The sequence below is a fragment of the Homo sapiens genome, chromosome 10 (assembly GCF_000001405.40).
Source record: "Homo sapiens chromosome 10, GRCh38.p14 Primary Assembly".
Classification (NCBI taxonomy): domain Eukaryota; kingdom Metazoa; phylum Chordata; class Mammalia; order Primates; family Hominidae; genus Homo; species Homo sapiens.
In genome coordinates, this window is record NC_000010.11 from 123,345,692 (window position 1) to 123,362,484 (window position 16,793).

Here is a 16,793-nt window from a genome sequence, read left to right on the forward strand (position 1 = left end):
AAAATGAAAAGGCTTATTTTAAAACACATTCATATGAGCCGGCAAAACCCTCTCCTTTCCAGATTAATGAAGCTTATTTGAGGGGAAACATAGGCACGAATTTAAGAGCTAAGTAAGGTACTTAGAACCTTTTGGTGCAAAGCCACATATAGGCATATATTTTTGAACTGTGATGATGGATGTAGGGTTTTAATAGGGGAGAATGATGACCGGCAAGCTACAGAGAGGCGGGTATCTTCAGGCCAACCCTCCCTGAAATGACAACATATGATGATTTTTTTTTCCTTCCATGTGTAGGCCTTGAATATTCAAATCAATTAAACAATTAATTCTCACCCTGCAAACTTGCACGTCAAGCCTCAGCCTGTGGCCAATTTATTTGGTTGAATTATAACCCCCCTGAAAAGCAGCGGTTCCTAATGGAAAAGCTGACGGAGTCTTAAGTACACGTGGTGAGTGGAGCTGCTATAATTAACTCTGCTTTGAAACCCACCCCCCCATTAATATTTTACAGATTTTTAGTTAAAATAATTACATGAATTTATGAAAAATACTCAAGCACCTAAAGTACTTCTACTGTGCCCCAATTTCAGGGTTTCCCTTCCTGGCTGTCACTTGGGTATATGCGTTTCTACCCTGGTGATTATCACCCGGGTCCCAGCTGGTGGGGAAACATTTATTTCCAAAATGGAGACCTCCTTCTCCTTTCTCCTTTGTAATCTCAGTAATAGGGACTGCATGTCCACAACTGGCCTTCTGGTTAACATGGACGGTTCTTTTCTTTTTCTCTTCTGTTTCCCCTTTCTCTGTCTCCCCTCCTTATCTTCTCCTGGGATAATGCTCCCCAGACAAAGCCCCTTCCTTGGAAGGGCCAAAGGTTCCTTCCTTGGCAAGGCAAGGCAGTCTAGTGCAGGGGTCAGCAAACTTCCCCTGTACAAAGCCAGCAAGGAAATAATTGAAGCTTTGTGGGCCCTGCAGTCTCTAAAAGCATGCTCACCTCTGCTGCCACAGCACAAAAGCAGCTGTTGAGAAAATGTCAGTGAGTGGACACAGTTGTATTCTAATAAAACTTTATTTATGGTCAGAAATGGAATGTTTACATGTCAAAGAATATTCTTCTTTTTATTTTTTTGTGACCATTCACAGATATAAAAATGATTCTTAGCCTCGCCAGCCCTTACAAAGCATGCAGCAGGCTGGGTTTGGCCCCTGGGACTGTTAGTTTGGCAACCCCTGGTGCAGTTGATTGATTAAGAACAGAGCTCTTTGTCTGGAGTCAGATTTGGTGGGTTTCTGTTCTGACTCTTGCAACTTTCTATCCATGTGACTGGACCAGTGATTGATCTTTTCTGAGCCTCAGCCTCCCCGTGTCTAACAGGGTGATGATGACAGTGGTACTCGCCTCCCAGTCTGGCTGTGATGACTTACGAAAAGCATGCAGCACAGTGCCGGGCACACCAGAAAGTAACAATGTAAGTGCTCACTGAGGGGATATCTCTCCTTGGTTCTGGCGTTAACTTGCTGTGTGATGTTGGACAAGTAACTTGACATTTCCAGACCTAGATCCCTGAATTATTAGAAGAGACAAAAGACAAAAACCCTCCAAAAACCCAGGCTTGATCTAGAATACGCAGGGGCCGCATCTGGCCCAAGGGGACCTGATTTCCCCTAGGATGAGTATCTCATTAATTGGCCTCAGGATGGTGGGACCTGGAGGGCTTTTGCTTCCTGGTATGTTCCAGTTCTGCAATTGTTGATGGAATATGCCCTGAACGTAGGCTCTCGAGACAAGCTGTTATCTCATTACTCCCTGGGAGGAAGAACTCCCTGTCCTTTCGTTTTGGGGACTGGCCCCCCTTGGTGAGGACTTCTAGTGCTGCAGGTATCTGGTGGCCCATTTACTGTCCTCACCAGCCCTGTGTGGAGGCTGCTTCAGCTTCATGTTGTGCACAAGAAAATAAACTCAGAGAGATGAAGACTGACCCCAAAACACTAGTTGATTTGAACCAAGGTAATCTTGACTCCGAAACCCAAACTTCAGTCATTCTCTTTATGATTGTTGCCCTGTCTATATAGCATCTGTTCTATTGCCTACTAAATATTTTAAAATGAACTCACTATTTGTATTACTTTTAAATGGCAAAAACCACAATTACTTTTGCACCAACCTAAATACTTAGATTCCTTTTAAAAAGATTTCCTTTAAAATCAAATTTATTTTGAACTATGAATTTGATGTGCTATTTATATTTTTACTGATAAATATCAAAACAAAGTAAAAAGGAGATCGTTATGTGCACTCTCGGATATCATCTTAAAAGCCGGTGAGTCATCAATGTTGCTCTTCAGAGACACTGCTCTGTGCTTTGTCCCAGCTAAATGTGGCTGGAGGCTTGGCATCAGGTGGGTCCTTTGGACAGTCAAGCCCTTCCTGTGGGCTTGGGGACCATTTCCAGTTTCCATTTGTCTCTGTGCTGGGAGTAACCACTTGTTAAAAGACTCCCTCCCATCTCCTCCCCAGCTTGCCCCAAAGTCAGCTTCCACGGCTGCTAGATCAGCTCCCTAGTCACCAGGCTGACTCTAGAGCTGGTCTTAGTATCCTTCCTGCCACCCCCGCCACCTTGCCATTTGCCACTCCATACAGGGATGCTCTTGACTTCTGAGTGCCTAGGTAAATGTTCATTTTCTTTTGGTCCCGCCTGTGCAACAGTGCTGTGGGAAGATTTCCAGCCCCACAGAGACCTGTGATCTTATCCAGCCTGGGCCTCTGGCTGGCCATATGATCTCACTCACACAAGCCTCAGTCTGCTTACCTGAAAATGGGGGTACTAATGCAATCTGTCTGCAAGAGGTATCATGAGGAGATACAAGAGGAAGGCTCGAAGTAAGAGGAGGAGCCCCAGGAAGGAGGAGAGGCTGTGGAGGCAGACCTGGGGTCCAACTGCTGCTCCACCACCTCCTGGCTATGGAATTGGATCTGTGGTGATGTTGATGACAGTCTTAGGATGGAATTATGAATTTCCACCCACCTTCTTTGTCTGCTTCCTCCCATCATGGCACTTCTTTGTCTAAACATGGCTTCCCTTTGAACACATCCACAAATCGGCCTTTCCCTGACCTCTGGAAACATCCAAGCACCAAGGCTTAGCCACCAGGGCTGCATGCCTGTCCCCGCCTGTCTGAGAAAGCAGGCGGGGCCTCCCTCTGCTGTCTCAGATGGGCCAGGCCCCAGCCCAGCGCTACCATTGACTCGTACTTGAATCCAACTCATCTTGATTTTATGAGAACCATCCCTGAAAATCCTCATGTTCAATAGACGACACCAGGGAACCGTGGAGCAGGCCTGTCATTTGAATAATCAGCCATTTAGTGACATGTCTAGCCTGGTTTAATGACTGAATCAGTGAAAGTATGACCCCGAGTGCCGGTTAACTTTTAAAATAGCTGTGCCCACTGCATGACACAGCCAACAGGAAACCATTAAGGCCCTAGCAATTACCACTTCCATCCATCGGCAAAGTCCCTATTTTATTTTAATCTGCGTAAGTGCATTTTCTGCACGAGGTTAAAATATAAATCCCTTCTCCTGAACAAGACTGGTTTTCTGGCTGACTTGAGAGCACAATTTACAACTGATTTAATTTGTTCTTCACAAACATTCCTAATGACATTACCCCGGTGCATATACAGACTGCCTCCTCTTATTCCATTAACTCCCAAATCGGGTTTAAAGACCATATTGATGCTAGATGTTATTATGGGTGATTATCAAAACAACAGACAATGCGGCAAAGTGTTTACTAACTGGTTTATATATAATTTCTGTAATAACGACAACAGATGGTAATGCTACAAACACTAAATCACGCTTTTCGCCGCTGAAACAAATTGGCAGCCTGCAGTACAGAAATGGTGTACGTAGCTATATACAGATGCTTCAGTCATCAGCTATAGTGTTCATCTTATTAGGAAATGGGTCTGTTACTGCTATTACAGGTAATCTTTCCATTTACAATTACAAATGTATATTTTCAATGAAAATGGTTTTCCGCAGCTAAGCTGCCTGTAGGATATTTCCCCTCTAATTACTGCCCCAGTGAATGTGCGCCCAGGCCATGCCATGCACAGGGTTATGTTTGTCCTAGTTAATGATGGCGGCTGCATTTTAGTTGCTCTGAGATGGGTCCTCTCCAAGACCCTCCACCTCTCGCCGGCAAGACCACAATACAGCCCCAGGCAGTGGGTTCATTAGGACTTTAGAAGCAGAGTATGAACAGGATAAGAAGCAGCTGAACGTGAGAGGGCTCTTCCTTGAGCCTGTCTCCAGTGATTCTCCAATCCCCTGCCCCTGTCATTGATAAGCTCCACCTGGCCTTTTGAAAATGCTAAGCCAACATCCAAAGGGCCTTTGGAGGAAGGGGCTTGCCCATGTCATGCAGCGGCAGGGCCAGGACACTGACGCTGGCCCCCAATGGGGAATTCAAAGTTTCTTTTGTCCCACTGCGAACTCTTTCCCATCCCAGGCACTATGGATGCTACCCCAGGGGACCCAAGTCTGACTCAGTGGCCTGAGTCTCAATGGCTGCATCGTGAGTGCCACATGTGGATTCTGTCATGAAATTCAGCAGAAACTCCATAAAGTGGACACCATTGTTAACCCACCTTGTGGAGGAGGAACCCGTGAGCCAGCACAGAGGACCCACTTGCCTGTGATCTTGTGGCTTGGAGGCAGTAGGACAGGGATTTGAACTCAAGCTGTCAACTGAATCCAAAGCCTGTGGGCTGAGCCACTGAACTCTAAGCCTTTCCAGAGGGCATCGGGGCCTGTGCTCTCCTAGGAAAAACAGAGTTGAACCTTGGAATAAAGGACAAAAAGCGTTGTGTTTCTGTGCCTCAAGCTCCCACCCTTCAGCTCCTCCACTTTCAGTTTTTCCCACCAGGGTGCCAGCTGATTCCTAGGCCTGGATGCTGAAGCCCCATGCTGGCTGGGAGGAGGAAGGCGGTGCAGAGGCTACAGGAGAGGGACAGAGATACAGAGCATTCCGCCAGGCCGCTTACCTGCCGTGGGAGCTTGGCCAGTTCTTCCCCTCATGCTTCGGTAGTCTCATCTGCAGAGAGAGAATCAAAGTGATGCCTGCTGCCTACGACAGCTCGGGAAGACTGTGTGGAGCCGATGGTTCATGCACGTTAGGGAGTTAGAGCAATGCCCTGCCCAGATCGGGGCTCCGCAGGGATGAGCTCCATTCACTGCAGCCACACTTTTGGGATGACTCTTGGCTCTGGAAGGCCCCTCGTGGGGTTGGGGTGCTTGCCTTTTTTAGGATGGACCCCGTTTCTGCATGCTCCCTACGCTGGGCTTCTGTGCTGGTCTTCTGTGCCTTTGGAGTGAATTTCACTTCCTTCCTTATTTGAGGCCCTCTTGGGTCTGAACACTGGCTACCGAGATCACAAGACTAATACATGCCTCGGGTCACAGCGACAGAGGATGGCTGGGGGTGGGAGTGGTGAGGACACATTATTCAGACAAACAAACTGAGGCCCAGGGCAGGGGTGGTTTGCACGAGGTCCTGCAAAGCTAGACTAGGCCTTCTTCCCATCTTGAAGAGTCCAGAAAACAAAAGAGGACAGGGGCTGGGGTGTGCCTTGGGGCGTGCAGTCACTGGGAATGCTGTACTCTCTGTCTCCTCCAGCCGCACACCTCTCAAGTGGGCTTCTCATCTCCAGGAGGCTGTGGGGTCCTCTCGGGAGGCTGGGGCTGCATCTGGTATTTCTCTTCAGCCCGCATGAGCTGGGCCCCCATGGTCCTCACCAGGTTGCCAGCTTCCAGGCCAGTGGTGGCTCCACTAGGCCTGGGGAACAGCCTTCTGATCATTTTGTGGGAGTGGCATGCTACCCTTGGGCTCCTCCCACAATGGATTTTGGAGGCAGCAATATGCCTACCGTTTGGCCAGGAGCAAGTGCTCAAAATCATCCCCACACGTTTCTGATGCTGAGAGCAGAGGAGGTAGAGAGCACTTCCCACGCACTCCAGGAACTGGGCCTGGAACCAGGCCCAAACCCGGCCCAAACCCGGCCCAAACCCGGCCCAGGTGCCTGGAAGGCCTCCCTTCCAGTCAGTCCCTGACCACCCATTTATCTGAGTGGTTTCACTTGTGTGAAACACACCTTCGGCCCCCTCACTGGGAAACACGGGTTTGAGGAGGAGTGAGAACACATCCTGCGCGCAGCACTCGCCCACTGTCGGACCCCCGCTGTGTGCCACCTCCCGCTGCCTCCTGCTGCAGGGCAAGGTGGCTCTGAGGACTGACCCAGGACAGGGCCCGCCACGCTCCAGTGAGAAGCCAATCACGCACTTCCCGATGACCACTTTGCGAGGAGACAATGGATCGTTTCCTCTCTGTAATTTTCTGCATGGAGGTCTCCCTGTTGTCCCCTGGCCACATCCTCCTGACCTCGGAGGCCACCCTGTACCCTCGCCACGCTGCGCCTGCTCCTTACTTGCACAATGAGCTGCTGTTCTGGGGGCTTTTCCTAGAGGAGCAGTGCTGGCCTTAGCAGTCTGGGAGGAAGCACCTGGTCTGGGTAAATTTTCAGGAGGACCTGCCTGGGCGTGGGGCCACACTGGCCAGGCTGCCTGCCTGGGCCTCCCTCTGGCCAGGCATTTGCTAGGCAGAGAACCAGCTCCAGAGTGGGATACCCAGACCTCCTGCCTTTTTCTACACTGGGGTTGGTCTTTTGCCTTGGGAGGGCCTCGTAGCCTGGTGGAAGAAGCCCACTGGAACAAAACTGAAGTTTAAATCCCAGTATATGGCTTATCTGACCACAGGCAAATAACCTCAGTCTTTCATTCTTTAAACTGGGGATGATAGAACCTCCACACGAGGACATAGCACAGAATAGGCTCTCATAAAATAGAAGTTCTTATTATTAGCTGTCCTTGTGACCTCCATGCAATTCATGGGAATGATTAGGCGTTTGACATTCCTTTCCAGAATCCAAGTCAGTGAGAAGGTCGGCTCTGCCTCCAGTATCTGCTGTTCCTTCCTCAGTAGACGTGAACTTGAAAACCTTTCCCTGGCCATATCTTAAGCAAATTCCTAATCATGGATGGATTTTAACCCATTAACCATTCCAAAAGGAGGAGTGTATTCATTATGAAATGTTATCTGGTAAGAAATGTTTGCGTTTTAGTGAGTAAAAATTCAATCCCTTATGTCTATATATATATATATATTTTTGGAATGAAGTCTCACTCTGTCACCCAGGCTGGAGTGCAGTGGTGCAATCTTAGCTCACTGCAACCTCCACCTCCTGGGTTCAAGTGATGTTCCCACGTCAGCCTCCTGAGTAGCTAGGATTACAGGCGTGCACCACCATGCCAGACTAGTTTTTTTTTTTTGTATTTTTAGTAGAGATGGGGCTTTACCGTGTTGGTCAGGCTAGTCTCTAACTCCTGACCTCAAGTGATCCGCCCGCCTCGGCCTCCCAAAGTGCTGGGATTACAGGTGTGAGCCACTGTGCCTGACCACCTCAATATTTTCTTTCAACAGAAAGGGTTTTCCTGAGATGTCATCAGATAAACTATTATGGGATAGTAGACAGTAGACTGGAATTGGCCAAGAAACAAACCTGGGAAAAAGTCCTTGCTCTACCCTTTCTTAGTCTGGGGACCTTGGGCCTCAGTTTTCCCATCTGTAAAATGAGGGTGGCGTTTGGTCTACTTGGTGCCTAAAGACCGTCTGATATTTTTTGAGTCTGTGATTGTTCGGAAGCCTGATCAAGTGGAAAGAATTCCGGCTGGTGGAAACTGCCCTTGGGGCCCCCTATCTGAGCAGGATCCTAAGGGCTTTCGTGGGCTGCCAGAGCTGGCTCTCAGAACAGCCTCAATGTTCAGACAGCACAAGGTGATTGCAGTTCTCCTCACATCGTGCCAAGCAGGAGTAATTAACAGACATGTTGCAAAGTGTATCTAGCATATCTAGCAGATTTTAAAAAATGACTTCCAAGGATTATAAAAGACTTTAATTAGAATTTCACAAAGGCGGAGGCTGAGGATTTGCTGACTGCCCTGCCATATTTTTTTTCCAGGGTTCAGCGCAGCTTCAGAGATAGCAAAGAGTGAACAGTGTTTTAAGGCCACGGTACAATGTGACAACAGTGATAGATATGCTAATTTCTTCATCCACTCCACTTCACTTCTTTTATTCTTTCCAATTAAAGCAAATGCTACTGAAACTGTAATTAAACCAGGCCTGGGCCCTGATTGCCTGCTGTTTTAATGAAACCCTATTGATTTTCCTTTTCTTTCTAATGGCCACACATGGTGCTCAATGGTCAAACACACGCCCCGCTACAATGTCCTGGTAAAACTTAATTTTGGGCTGGTAAAATGGAGGCCCGACGGAGAGCGGTCTTGAATGGATTACTTACCCGTGGTGTTGGTGAGTAAGGCCCCTCCTTCCTCATGTGAGGCCACGGAGAGGCGAGAAACACACCTATGCTGTATGACCATCCAAAAGAAACGAAATGCATTCGGGGAAGAAATCAAACTCCTTTTTATCCTAGTGCTGATTCTATAAGGAGCAGCATGTTAGTTAAACTCTAGTGGCTTAACTAAGCTGGATGTTAAAATCTGGGCAATTTGGAGCCCTGGAAATATATATTCTTGACAGATGTTCACAAGCCAGAACAGTTTTGGAGACGAAGTATTGGAAGAACATTTTACTTCTCTTTGGCAATTAACTTGAAAAAGAAGTTTTTTTATCAATGGGCCATCCCTCTGAGATGACTCTTGCACTGCTACTCCCAGCCCCTGCATGAGGATATGGATGTTATGCAAGTACGTTGAGTGGGGAGGGGTGCTGGGAATGAGCACAGCAAATACTTACTGGTGCAAATTAATATTCTGGCCAGAAAGCATGGTTTCAGATATTGCTGGCTTCCTACACCTAGCAACAGCCGTCACCACGTGAGACTTGGTAAGGAAGCTCGGGCTTGTGTTTCCTAAATGGCTCTAACCTGTTTGAGCAGAGTCATTGCTCAGGGCTACAGGATGGACTAGAGCCAGCTGGGAGCAGATCTCATCTTGTGTTTATGAGCTGGTTCTGATCAAAGCCTTTATAGGTGCCTTTTTGGGTTATGGGGAGTATTGGAAGAGGAGGTGGGTCATGTCCCACAAAGGACATCATCCTTTTCTCGTTCCTCTAGTTCCACGCCCCCTCTCCGCTTCTCCCTACCAAGCAAATGTTCATTAGTGTGCACACTTTTTCGAGCAGACATATTGCTGTTTTATAAAAAAGATGCCAGAGCAGGAGACGCATGCCCTCCCCATCCCAGCCAAAGCACAAGACAGCAGCACTGTATTCCTCCTCCCTCTCCAATGTGTCGATGGCCTACTGTGTGCCAGGCACCAGCTAGGCGCTTCACATGGGCCTTCTCTTCATTACCCCATGATAACGCCGTTGAATAGAAAGGGAAACAGACCCAAGGGATTGCACAGTTATTAAAAGTATAATTGCTCTCCAGGCAGGACAAACAAGAATGAGCACTGTCGGTGTGATGTGGGTTCAATCCTGCTTTTGTCACCACTCGTGGGTCATCTGGACTTGGCTCCACCCATTCTCCTTGCAGGTTCACCATCTTCTCTTCTCCCTGAGTGAGGTATAAGCTCCCTGAACCTGAATCTGACTCCCAGGTAAGGAGAGGGCAGGGCTTGTCCACTGGGCTGTACTGGCATTTGAGGCTAGATAGTTCTTTGTGGTGGTTGCGTGGGGGTCTTACACTTTATAGGGTGGTTAAGAGCATCTCTGGCCTCTACCAACTAGATGCCAGTAGCACACCCCTAGCTGCAGTCTTGACAACCAAAAATGTCCCCAGACATTACCAAATGTCCTCTGGGGAGCAAAATACCTCCTGTTTGAAAATTATTGGTCTAGACATCTGTATTTTGTTTGCTTGGGGCTAAAAACATAGTACCTTTTTAAAACATGAACACCAAACAATTTGTTTTACTCTAATAGCCCTGATAATTCTGTAGCAGCATTCTCGTTGTAAATAAAAAATAAAAATGAAAATTCAAAATTCAGACTTGAAGACTAGAAAAAAGACCATATGTGTGTGTGCATGTGTATGTTTTGACAAAACCTAGAACTTTTCCAATGGAAATCTCAGGAAAGGGCATGGACTGGGAGTCGGAAGACCTGGATCCAGTCCTAGGCTGCTGCTTCTTGCTGGCCAGTGTCTTGGTGAGTCAAGTCCCTTGAGCAGTGAGATTTTTTGTCATTAATGTGAGGAAGATGTTATAGTGATTCATCTCTGAGGGTCCTGGAAGGACTGACATTCTTAATAATTGAACAGAAGCGTAATGAGTGGTACAAATGTGGAATCAGGGAATTTCCAGTGATGGGCAAATTCACAACATGTGAGAAAGGTAGGGAGGGAAAGAGAGAGAGTGGGGGCGGGGAGGGCAACAGTGCAAAAAAGGTGCAAGAATGGATGCCCCAAATTCACTGCGGGTTGTGAAGTCACTCCAGGACCTGGTCTCAAGTCAGCTAACGGTTTCCACACAGTCCCCTGGAGGCCCATCTCCATATAAGGAAAACCAGAGGGAAGATTAGATTTGTTTTACAGAGACTTGTTTCACCTCCACGTCAGGAAGGCATGACTTATTTGTCTTAGTTGTGGTGTGATCTAGGCCTGCTTGTATCTCTGCTTGCTCAGGGTCAGAGAGAAGGCTGGATTCTGGGATGCTGCAGGATTTTGGAAGCAAAGACAGAGAGGGCACCTGGAGAATGGTTGCCAGAGTGAAATTCCCCAGACAATAGAGATAATTTGGAACTGTTTAAAGAACAAGGGTAAGTTCTCTGAATGCTGCTCTTCTCAGGCTGATCCCCAAAAGCAGAGAACTGAAGTCTCTTTCCCCACCGAGTACCGGTGACAGAGAGGGAGGATGGCCACTCTTTCACAGTATCTCTTTGGGAAAGAGCTGGCGTCCTCTTGGGCAACAAAAAAAACCCTCCCTCCCACTTGCTTTGTCTTCATTTCATCTTTCAGGACCCACATCCGTAGGACAAGCCATTTTTTGAGAACCCCACAGAACCAACGACCTTCTTTTTACAGATAAAGATGAAAGCCAGATTTTTTAATTGGTTTTTAAAAAATTGCATGTACTTTTGACAGAGACGAAAGACCCTTTTCCTGGATGTTAGCTCTGACATCTTCCTTGTTAGGATGGGAGAGGAAAAAAAAAAAATGGACCCTAGGCATGGAGCTTGCAGGGACCCTGGAAAAGGGGACACCATCATGCCACCATCGAGTTCTGTCAACTGTCAAGTTAATTAGAACGAAATTAAAAACACATTTGCCAAGATGTTCCGCAGCCAAACCAGTTAAATAGAGATTTTAACAAAATTGAAAGCATATTATACTGAGATTTGTGGATTCTGGCCCGGTGAGTGAGTGCTGAAAGTGTGATAAAATAGCAAAATTGCTGCCTAATAATCTATAGAATAATATTGTCAACTAATGGATTATAATAAAATAAAAGCTGTTATTAGGGTAAAACATTATAAAAAAAATCCAACTTTTCTTTGCAGCCCCTCCCCCTTAATGGTTTTGAGCATTTTGAAAGGTAATTTAAACAAGTACATTGTGTCCTTATTGAAGCGGCTTCATCTTGCTAGCTGCTGAAAATGGCTTTAACCATCCCTCTGAACAAAAGCACCCCTAATAAGACAACAAAAAGCCCAAAGCAATGGCCCAGCGGCATCGCGCTCTGGCGCAGAGCGAGCCTGCTAAGGCGGCAGCTTTCTCCTTGCATGTAATTAGATGAATTAAAAGGACAAAGTGGTTAATGTAACTGTTGTCCGGGGGGCCCCCAGCCCTTTTCATCCCATCCATTTCAGACAAGAGCCTGTGGCTTTTGCTTCAGCAATGCGGAGAAGAATGTTGGCGGGGAGGGAAATTAACAAGCTTAATCTATGAGGAATCTGCTCCGTGTCATGGATGAAATGTATCTCGAGCAACGAAAGGCTAGTCATTCCTGCTTCCCTTTTATATGCCTAATAAAACTTACAATAAATTAACTGCATTTTAGTTTGCAGCTAGGCTCTGTTAATCAGGGATGAGGCTTCGGGTAGTCAAGTTACAAGAAGGCTTCAGCGGGTGCATGTCAGCTATGCGGTTGGGCGGGTTGGCCCCACTCTAATTAGCCTGGCTTCCCACGTTGACATTTCAGGTACGGGTTCACTGTTGGGTTTCGCGTCTTCTGTAACGGGGAGTGAGAAGGAAGGTGTATGTTATCCATCCAATTCACCTGACTGAGGGGTACTGGGACCCTTGGAGTGAAATCTCTCCAAGATAAATAGATTCCTTATAGCTCTTCATCTAATTGATATCAGGGTGTTTCCTTGATAACTCTGTGCATTGTTTATTTTCTGTGAGTGCCTCCTACTCTTCATACTGTCCTATTAGGAATGCTGCCACCATGGCAACATCAATTTTTCATGCGGGCCCTTAGTATCATTCTCCGTAGAACTTTGGGATAATGCTTCCATGGGGTTCCTTAACCGAGAAACTCCAGAAAAGGCGGTGACATCAGCAAAAGGGAGCCAACTCCTTCCCCGTCTGCCGTTTTGTACTCTTGGCCTAACGTTGACTCAAAACAGCAACTTGGAGCCTTCCCTGACCTGTTGGTAAAATATGACTTTGTTTTATTATTAAAAAAATAGAAAGTAGAAAATTAAATTCATTAGCTCCAATTACTAAATGATTCATCTGGCTGGCTAATGAAGCTGAGCATTATGCTAACAAGATAAAGGCAAGAATAACATGTGGGGGTGTGCGGCTGCAGGCACGCTGGGCCTGTTCTACTGGAAACGCAAGGCTGAGGAGCTCTGTGCCTTGAGATGGATGGCAAGGTATGGGAGTTGGGGTTGAGAAACAGGAGGCTGTGGGGCTCGGTTTGCTTCCCTGGGGGGCTTGAGGAGGCTGAGTCAGGGACTGGCAACACTTTTGGGTGTTGGGTGAGCCCTGGGCCTTTCTTTTTCTTTCTGTGTATGGGGACCGCTAGTGGAGACTTCAGTGGGAGGCCCGCATCCATGAGCAGAAACGACAGCAGCAGAAACAATCCCCCGGGCCATCCAGGAAGAAGGTTGGGCTTGTGGCTCAAGGCCCCTTTAGCCTCTGGGGTTTCAAGGAACCTTTGGGCTGGAGATATGGAATCAACGGAAGTGGAGGCTGTGGACAGGGTCCCTGTTCCCTATGGTCTCAGCTACTTGCTAAGTCATTGTTAGATCCAGGCTATGGTGGTACCAAGAGCTGGCTTCCTGTGGGAAGAATGGGTCCCTGGAGTCACACTTTTGAGCGCAGGCAGGCCCTGCTGAATACTGCTCACGTGAAAGCATTTCCAGACTCTCCTACTCACTTCTGCTGACCTTGGGTCATTGCTGAAGCTGCCAGCTACTGTCAATCTGATCGCTTACCGTGCTTCATACTGTCTCTAGCCCGCTTCTTTCAATTCTGGCTCCTGCTCTCTGATTCTCCTGGGCACTCATCACCAACTGGCTGCCAGAGCACATGGGCCTCCAGCTGCTGTCTGAATGGCCACAGGATGACTCCATTATTATTCCCACCACCTGGACTGAGTTAGTCTGATCCTCATTCTGTTAAAAACACCCATCAAATAGCAAGAAAAAACCCAGTTTGAAAAGCCCCCTAGGCCAGGTGCGGTGGCTCAAGCCTGTAATCCCAGCACTTTGAGAGGCTGAGGCAGGTGGATCACTTGAGGTCAGGAGTTCAAGTCCCACCTGGGCAACATGGTGAAACCCCGTCTCTACCAAAAATACAAAAATTAGCCAGGTGTGGTGGCATGCTCCTGTAGTCCCAGCTATTCCGGAAGCTGAGGCAGGAGAATAGCTTGAAATCTCCCAGAGGGCAGAGGTTGCAGTGAGCTGAGATCGTGCCTGGGCAGCAGAGTGAGACTCTGTCTCAAAAAAAAAACAAAAACAAAAACAAAAAAGCACCCTATTTGTATGCTGCACAGTGAAAGGAATGTAGGACCTTGAGTTTGAACCCCAGCCTCCTACTACTTCTGGCAAGTAACTTCCCCTTTTCTGGGTTGGTGATAACATAGCTTGCTGATATTGGGTGGTTGTGACTGAGGCTCACAGGAAATGGTATCTGCTCCCAGTGTTAGGTTATGCATCCTTGCTTGCATGGGGGTTCTCTTTCCCATTCTCTAGAACTGTAGAAAAATTGAGCATCTCTTATATCTATCGAGTCTGATCTTCCTAGGAGTTGAGCCCAAGAACTGGGTCAGTGGGTTGTCCCTGCAGAATGTTCCTTAGTGGCTTCCTACACAGTGGACCCAGCACCCGGTGCAGCCAGCCTGTCACCGAGACAGACGGGCAATGCCAAGTGACCCTCACCTAGACTCACAGAGATAAGTCACTACCTCCTCGCCTCTCTGAGGATTCGTGCCTGTTTTACTACTGTTACCATCAGAGTTGTTCTACTCTTAGTCATAATTGTCTCAGCACAATTGGTTGAGCACTTACTATATGCCATGACTTTCCACCTGGCATCCGCCTTTAGGCATTCCTTTATCATCCAACTCCTGCTTCGGGAAAATTTGTTTCTGTCTGTCTCCAAGATACAAAATCAAAAAGGTGTTTTAATCCTGAGGAAGAGTGTGAGTCTGGGAAAATTTTGGATCACCGAGGTGCAGCCATACCTTCCACAGCCATCACTGTTGCTTACAACTCACATGCCAAGAATTGCAAGATGAAGATGGTGATCAGGAGGCATGACTTGGTAATACTGCTGAGGCTGGGAGTCTCTGGGAAATTCTGAGTGTGGGCAATGATTGTGGCAATCTGGTTCCCACAGGCATTAATGATTTTTTCTTTTAACTAAAAGATTAGAATTTGCAAAATTATGTTAAACCAATTAACAAGGGGAATGGATTTAGGACCACATGTAAAATGATACTTTCCCCAATATAGCTTAATAGAAACATGTCATTTGTAGGTGGAAAAAACCTTCATATTCATATCCCCAGGAAGTCAATGGAAAATGAAGGTCGATGGAAAATGAAGTTAATATCTATGTAAAGCTTAAAATTAAAAAGTGAATATTAAAAAGAAACATGAATAATATGCTTCTTTGGAGTTTGGGGTTTTGCTATGGTTGTTGTTGTTGCTGTTGTTTTTCTTTTAGTAACTACTTGGTTAGTGTAAAGCAGAGAGGAGAATTAGGAGAGGCAGATGGCAGAGAGGTCTGCCATGGAAGATTCATGGATGACAGGAGAGGCTGTGTTCCAGAAGGCAAGGTGAACAGGCTTTACACACACAGTTTGGGATGCCTCTGGGTACCACTTGGCAGGGCTGTTAGGAGGGCTGGTCCCAGGCTCCAAGTTCTAAGCAAAGCTTGAGCATTCAGGCCAGGTCTGCAGCCCAGGAAGTTTACACACAAACATATGAGTCAAGAAGAGCTTCAAGGACAGGGTGAGCAGTGGGTCAGGGGGCAGGTAGCCAGGCAAGGGCAAGGCTGACTGGCAGGCGAGCACCAGAAAGGGAGGCATCCAGACTCCTTGACCTTCTTGACGTATGTCTGTGACCCTCGTTCCAGGAAGAAGAGCCCAAGGACCGTAGCAAGGCCCTGATTCTGGGAGACGAGAGAACACGCTGACTTAGAATGCTTGTCTCTGCATCCTGGTCAGAAAGTAGATGGACGACACTTTCATCTCCGACTGGATTTTGGTGAGAGATGGGCAAACCCCGGGCTCTAGGCTGGAGCAGCAGCTCTTGTATCCACACAAAATCAGGACTGGTGGAGGGAGCCATCTTCAAACATAAATTTGGTGAGTTTAACAATCAGAGATTTGAAAAACACAGAAATGAACATTTCTGATCAATGACACTGCTGATCTGATGCATCATAACAGAAACCAGTCATCAAGGTACAACAAACTGTTCCAAACCACTGAGAAATGGCTTGTCTGTGGGCTCCCAGTTCAAATGCTCACAAACCTGGGAGGCTGGTTGATCAGGGTTGGGAGGGAGGGTCTAGCCATAGCTCAGCAGCTTCCCTAAGGTTGTTGTGCATGTCCCTAGCTGGCTTAGTTTGGGCTGATGTCTTTTACGTGTAGTTCTAGATGGTTTGAACATATTGGCTGTTTCTCGTTTTCTTCTGTTTAAGCGTCTTTTGGCAATGCACTCCTTGGGTTTGGAAGCTTCCCTCCAAGATGCTGAGCCCAATGTTTGGGGAAAGCCAGGGAAACAGATGCTGGGTCAGTGCTGCTCCCACCTCCTCTGCTCCCCTCCTGAGGGCTCCACTGAGTCACCAGCCAGCAAACAGCCCATGCGCCCTGGAGCAGATGGACTGTGGGTACACGAGCCTCTGAACTCTTGGGCAGCATGGGCACAACATCCTTTTGGCCTCACCCAATGACCTGGCTGTAAGTATATCACTTGTGTCCCAGAGGGAGCTTGGGTACCAGGTGGTCATGACTCTGTTCTTTCATTGTCCCTGGGTGAATAGGGTGAGGAAATGGCCCTTGCTGTCCCCAGTGCCTGCAGTGCTTGGTCCCTTACTCTTCTCCAGTCTTTGCTCAGTTGTCAGCTCAATAGCAACCCTCCCTGCCACCCATGTCTTCTTTTTCTCTGTGAAGTTATCACCAACTGGTGCACTGTATGTTCTACCTTCTGTCTCTTCTCTCTAGAATGCAGTCTCCATGAGGGCAGGGCTTTTGGTCTGGCTCATTCATGGCTGTTTTCCTAACACCTAGAGCAGTC

The 16,793-nt window shown here is 47.4% G+C and overlaps 1 long non-coding RNA gene across 3 annotated transcripts in view; it reads left to right on the plus strand.

Annotated features, from left to right (window-relative positions):
• The first annotated feature begins 2,231 nt into the window (after window positions 1-2,231).
• LINC02641 (long intergenic non-protein coding RNA 2641) overlaps window positions 2,232-16,793 on the plus strand; it is a 214,291-nt gene continuing 199,729 nt past the window's right edge. Inside the window, exons 1-6 of one of the 3 annotated variants that reach the window (XR_007062326.1) lie at window positions 2,232-7,169; window positions 9,631-9,694; window positions 10,171-12,917; window positions 14,593-14,811; window positions 15,217-15,328; window positions 15,628-16,456. This is a non-coding gene — a long non-coding RNA (long intergenic non-protein coding RNA 2641). Of the gene's footprint in view, window positions 7,170-7,490; window positions 12,918-14,592; window positions 14,812-15,216; window positions 15,329-15,627; window positions 16,457-16,793 lie in introns of those variants that run through there. The other 2 variants (XR_002957104.1, XR_002957105.1) reach the window with 2 other exon arrangements.